The 6025-nt window shown below is 42.3% G+C and overlaps 1 protein-coding gene across 14 annotated transcripts in view, besides 3 other annotated features; it reads right to left on the bottom strand.

The window, feature by feature from the left end:
• Positions 1–6025, bottom strand: part of PIP5K1B (phosphatidylinositol-4-phosphate 5-kinase type 1 beta) — a 303937-nt gene that overhangs the window by 57582 nt on the left and 240330 nt on the right. The gene's annotated exons all lie outside the window — the stretch shown is intronic.
• Positions 513–1132: an enhancer, noted in NCBI's record as "NANOG-H3K27ac-H3K4me1 hESC enhancer chr9:71565379-71565998 (GRCh37/hg19 assembly coordinates)". NCBI's record gives its function as "activates a minimal SCP1, AML or CMV promoter by ChIP-STARR-seq in primed H9 embryonic stem cells {active_cell/tissue: H9 hESC(primed)}" and the evidence as "EXISTENCE:reporter gene assay evidence [ECO:0000049][PMID:30033119]".
• Positions 1133–1752: an enhancer, noted in NCBI's record as "H3K27ac-H3K4me1 hESC enhancer chr9:71564759-71565378 (GRCh37/hg19 assembly coordinates)". NCBI's record gives its function as "activates a minimal SCP1, AML or CMV promoter by ChIP-STARR-seq in primed H9 embryonic stem cells {active_cell/tissue: H9 hESC(primed)}" and the evidence as "EXISTENCE:reporter gene assay evidence [ECO:0000049][PMID:30033119]".
• Positions 4182–4858: an enhancer, noted in NCBI's record as "OCT4-NANOG-H3K27ac hESC enhancer chr9:71561653-71562329 (GRCh37/hg19 assembly coordinates)". NCBI's record gives its function as "activates a minimal SCP1, AML or CMV promoter by ChIP-STARR-seq in naive H9 embryonic stem cells {active_cell/tissue: H9 hESC(naive)}" and the evidence as "EXISTENCE:reporter gene assay evidence [ECO:0000049][PMID:30033119]".

The raw sequence follows: 6025 nt of genomic DNA, 5'->3' as shown, positions 1-6025 counted from the left end.
AGGAGGGTGAACAGGGAAAAGGCGAAGGCTCGACCGGTTCCCTAAATGAGCTTTGACCTGGCCTTCGAATACCTGGCCTCTCTCCTGTCACAACTCAGTGACCACACAGAAAGCAGCAGGTGAGGGTGGTTGGAATTAGGAGGACACCAACTGAAATGCACTCATACATAAATAAAAGACAAAAAATCTTCTCCCAGACAAAGTGCTTAGTCTGAACCATTCTTCCAGTGTGATGAGAAGCAATGAAAGAAAAGACAGAGAAACTCTACCATTATTTTTTTCCCCATGTAGCCTTCAGGATGAAATTTGCATTATAGCCAAATCCTTCATTTTGAAAACAAATCTGGTCATTTTTAAGTTATTTGTGACCTTCCACACACTAATTTTTAATAGGGCTGGCTGGAAAAATAATGAGCTCCATTACTTCATTACACATGTCACCTTTATTACTTTATCCTTGAAAACAGGTTATTAAATGATTCCATTTTAGATTAATATTATTCTGAATGGAGAGTTTAACATTGTCTCCTAGTTCCCTCCTTACACTTACCTAATTCTCCTGCACCCATAACTATCATGAACTAAATGCAAAGGCAGGTTGTGGTAGAGGCGTTTGGTCTGTCTGTGGGGAGGCTGGGCCAGCTTGGTGCTGTGAAGTGAATGAGTCCTCAGCAGCAGGTTTATGTTAGTGGACTTCCCCAGTGAAATTCCTTCCCTCCCAAATCAACAAGTCATTTAAATTACAGGAGATAAGGCTCACTACTGTGGTGATGACTCCACAGGTAACAGAAGGATTAAACAGAGGATGTCGGGACCAACTTTCTACTTGCCTTGGAAGAAATTGTTTGTTACTCTTCCTGTATGTTTGAAGCATATCAGAGAAACAAAAATGAATCTTGGGATTCTTGCAGACCCCCCAGCTAGAGGACCTCTGGGTGGAGGAGACATGGCCAGAACTGGTAACATGAACCTGGAAGTTCACCTGTTACAGATCCCAGGCCCACACAGGGAACACTACTTTGTACACAACACAAGAGCTAGGCTCAGAAGGCAAATGGAAATACAGTGGTTGGGCCAAAGGGAAACGTCTCGAAGAGAGGCCATGGCAGGGAAGGCAGCTGAATGGGTATGGACAAGCTCCTGGGAAGGGTGCTGCCCTGTGTGAGGCTGCTGGCCAGGGGCTCTCTAGGGTGAGACGAAATTTGCATAAGGCCAGCTTCACCCAAGAGTGCAACTGTCACGTGGACAAAGCAAACAGCAGAGTGAAATGGTCAGGGTGGAGAGGGGGACTCTCAAGGCTCAGAAGGACCAAACTGACCTTTAAGCAAAGAGGGGGAGTCAGTGGAGGCCAAGGAATCTGAAAGAGAATTACCCTGCTTGACTACAGAACCAAGGATCTCTGTAGACTCAGGGAGGTCACGAATAGCTGCTGGGCAGAAATGTATGTTGGCTTCAGGTCAGAGGAACCACACTGGGAAGCAGGTTTGGGGCTGGCTGAAGCATTTCCCAGAGGTGTTGCTAACCTAAAATACCTTTGTTAAATGAAGTTTAGCCTAAAGCTGCCTCCTTACATATTTAAGTTTGGCCTAAAGGTTTTTCTGTACATCGATAACTATACAACAAGCGGAAGTGTAAACCAACCATAGTTTACATTTGTGCCAACCACTGAGTCTTGGCCAATCAGATGTAGCCAACTGTTCGGACCGTGTTCAAATAAGGCAAACGCCGAGCTCTGACCAAGCCAGTAGTTTCTGTGCCTCACTTCGGTTTTCTGCACGCCACTTTCCTTTTGCCGTCCATAAATCTTCTTCCACCACGTGTCGGCGCTGGAGTCTCTCTGAATCTGCTATATGATTCTGGGGGCTGCCCGATTCACATATTGTTCACTGCTCAAGTAAACTCCTTTCAATTTAATTCAGCTGAACTTTTTCTTTTAACACCTTTAAGGCAAAAAGTCACTTTTGCTTAGGGCCTGTCCAGGCATGTCTGAAGTATGAGAAAGGAACTGAGGTCCTGTTCTCCTTACTAGAATCTGAAAACATATCCACTTTGCTATGGTTTTATATTTCTGGCATTACATGTTATGTCCTCTTAATTTCTTCAGAGAGTCCAGCTGTGTCTCAGCTGAACCACAGACAGGTGCTGTTTCACTACTCAGAAAGAACAGAGAGGGGAGAAGAGTTTATTTCCAAAGAACTTTTATATCCTAGTGTGGGTAAGAATTTCTTAAGGAGCTTGCCAAAATGCAGACTTCAGGGCTCCATTTCTAGAGGTAGGTACCCTGATGTAGGAGCTAGTCACACTGAGAAGCATTTCTCTAGAGGCTCCACGAAGGAGGGCAGAGAATTGAAGAGTGTCTACAAAGGTACATCCACTACCAGCAAACCATTCTTCCAGAGACATAGCACTAGTGTTTTAAGTCAAGGGAAATAAAGATGTAGTGTTTTAGTTCCAGAATTAAGAGGCAAAGAATGGATAAAGAAGTCTTTTTTTTTTTGTCAGTTAAAATATTCAAAAATTGGCCAACAGTTTTCCCACTTTTTTTGGCAATATGATTTATCCATAAACTAAATCGATTTAAAAATCTTAGTAACACACAAAAAGTACCCAGAAATATTATCTCACATGAATTCCTCAAAAAATGTGAATGTTCTTTGAATTAATGCTGAATCCTAAATTATTCTTCATATAATGTCAGATATCTGAAAAATTCACTTCAATTTCCTGCCCTGGCAGAAATATATGAGGGATCATTTGAAAAGCTAATCACTTCAGAAGTAATTCTATAATTTGTCAAAAAGGAAAAAAGACATCTGGCAAAATCCAGGTGCAGACTAATGTGATGTAAATCCATGTTTTTTCTTCTATTTTTTTTTTTTCTGGGGGTGGGGAGGAAAAACTAAACTAACAGGCATATTATAAAACTTCTGCAGGTTCCTTTTTTTTTTTGAGGCAAGGTCTCGCCTCTGTTGCCCAGGCTGGAGTGCAGTGGCATGATCACAGCTCACTGAAACCTGGAACTCCTGGATTCAAGCAATCCTCCCATCTTAGCCTCCCAAGTAGCTGGGACTACAGGCACGTGCCACCATGCTCAGATGTGTTTTTTGTTGTTGTTGCTGTTGTTGTTGTAGAAATGAGGTCTTGCTAAGCTGCCCAGGTTGGTCTCGAACTCCTGGGCTCAAGAGATCTTCCTGCCTCACCTCCCACAGTGCTGGGATTAGAGGCATGAGCCATCACTCGCAGCCAGGTTCCAACTTTTTCAGCATGTGCCTCAGCCACAACTGGAGAGAGATGTGACACCACTCAGGTTCACTGGTAATGCTATAATGGTTTTGATTTTTAAAATGGAATATCCTTCTTTCAAGAGACTGAAGAATAAGGAAGGTTTTTGCTTCTCTAAACATGTGGTATCATTTGCTTGATGACTTCATTTCTTGACACTTGGGAAAAGGTGACTAAATCCTTTCTTTACTAAGAATGAAAGAATGTGACCACATTTTCCCCTCATTCTGTGTTTGCTCCAGACTAAGAAAGATTCAGATAAGATGTTGCAGGGGTGGTGGGTTCACAAATGATGTATTGGTAATAAAGCAGAAATGTTTTGTAAGGGCATGGGTGATGGCTATCTGCTCCCAAACTGTGTCACCTGCCTTATCAGAGGGAGTCTCACTTGGGTTCCTCAAGCTTACAAGCCTCTTTGAGGAATTCTCAAACTAAAGATCTATCCCATGTGTCTAGAATTAGCTAAGACATTTCTATGAGTATTTACAACCAGCACAGTACCAGGGAATGCATTACTGATTGTCAGACAGACTTATTGGTAAATACTGGAGTCTCTAATTGCACAGATCATTAAAAAATTTATGGCTACTTTACATAGTACTATTACAATGGCATGAGAATAAATTGGTTCCATGATTACTTCTATAAAAGCCTAAATTGATTCCTGTTCTTGCACTCACACTACCTTTGTAAAGCTTTGACCCTTTCCTCTCTCTCTCTTTTAAAAAAGATCCTGTGTCTATCTAGCTTTTGCTCCATGTGTTGTGGTTGTTTTTATCCTATCTCAACTCTACTTTGCAATGCTGGGGCCCAGAGTTGCAAACGATATCCCATAGGCCTCTTGACTAGGTCCTGTCAGTCAAGGCATTGCAGGAGTTGGATGAGAAGGTGGCAGGAGGACAGAAGCTGCTGGCTTTCTGCTCTCATTTATCTTTCTTCCATTTCAGGGCAGTGTCTCTGGAGGTGGCTATGTTCTTGCACTATCCCAGCTCTTCAGGTAGCATCCTCCGCCACTGTCCCTTCTCCAAGGCGGCAGCAGGTATCGTGGCAGAGCTCATGGTGGGAGCTGCCTCCTGCAGTTATTTACCTGAGTTTCTGGAATTTCCCCCTTCAGTCTTCCAGCCTCCCCACATTCTGTAACCAATTCCCTTTGAAATTCCAAGTGTGTTTTCCATTTCCTGAAAGGACTCTAACAAAGCACTCCATGATGGCTTTTTGTCAAAAACATCATGCCCTTTACAGTGAGACTTATGCGGCAGCTGCAAGGTATTAGTGTCTCAAATCACTTGGTTATTTTATTTCAACAAATGTTTTATGGGGCTTACTATGTGCCACAAGGTATAAATGCTTTCTAATTGTTATTTCATTTAATCTTTATAACAACTCTGGGGGCAGTAGTATAGTAATTCACACTTTACAAATGAGGAAACTGAGGCACATGACGAGCAAGTAACTTGCCCAATGTTAGATCACTAGAAGTGGCAGTTTGAGAGCTAATGTCCTAAGGGATGATTTAGCAAGACGCATGAGCATCTTTACCCACCACCATCTGAGGTGGTGGGGGTAGGAAGGTCTGTTTGCAAGGCAGGAGTCAGCAGATTAAGAAACATAAAAGAACAGGCTGGGCGTGGTGGCTCATGCCTGTAATCCCAGCACTTTTGGAGGCTGAGGCGGGCAGACCAAGAGGTCAGGAGATCGAGACCATCCTGGCTAACACGTTGAAACCCCAAACCCCGTCTCTACTAAAAAAAAATTAGCCGGGCGTGGTGGCACGCACCTGTAGTCCCAGCTACTCGGGAGGCTGAGGTAGGGGAATTGCTTGAACCCGGGAGGTGGAGGTTGCAGTGAACTGAGATCACGCCACTGTACTCCAGCCTGGGTGACAGAGACTCTGTCTCAAAAAAAAAACAAAAAACAAAAAACCATAAAAGAACAAAGAGTCTGGAGAGGTCGTCTTCAATGTTTAGCATCAACGAGTGCATCATCCTACTAGGGGCTGTGTAGCCCTAGACTGGTGTCTAGGTATGGCAGGTAGCTGCAAAGTTCACAGCAGGTAACACAGTTGTGCTGTCTTTCCCTTGAGATTAGGGTTAGGGGAATGGAATCACTAGGAAGTTTTTGCAACTAGCTGTTCTCCTTTCATTTTGTAAATATTAAAGATTCCTGCTGACCTTGCTGTATCAACAGAAGATATAGGATTTTCTAAACCCAGCAGGAACATATCTAATAAAAGTCTTTTCTCGATGATTACGTAGTGATTTGGAGTCCACCTGGAGAGTTGGAAATAACAACTTGAGGAAATAGCTATTTTAGGTTTCTTATAAATTTAAATTAATGTTAAATTTTTAAAGTGTTTGAACATTCTGTCTCTAACATCTTTGAAGATGAAAATCCTCACTCAAAATCCCATGGAAAAAGAAAAGGCAAAAAGATGAAGACGAGAACTTGTATGGATGTCACCAAATTTCCATTAAAAGCATCATCTAAAACTTATCATCTGAAACTGTATATTCTATATCAGTGCTGTAGCTGGAAGTCATGCCTCCACTTTTTAGCCATGTGGTCTTGAGAAAGTTACCTCATGTTGCTAAGCATCAATTTCCTCATGTGTAAGATGGAGACCGTAAATATAATAACTTTACAGAATTGCTGTGAGAATTAAATCACTTGATATGTATAAAGGGCTTAACATGGCCCTTAATAAGGTCCAATAATTAGCTGCTATTGTATTCGATTATTATTG

Source organism: Homo sapiens, chromosome 9 (assembly GCF_000001405.40).
Source record: "Homo sapiens chromosome 9, GRCh38.p14 Primary Assembly".
Classification (NCBI taxonomy): Eukaryota; Metazoa; Chordata; class Mammalia; order Primates; family Hominidae; genus Homo; species Homo sapiens.
Note: the sequence above shows the minus strand (reverse complement) of the source record. Positions and strands in the feature narration are given on the sequence as shown.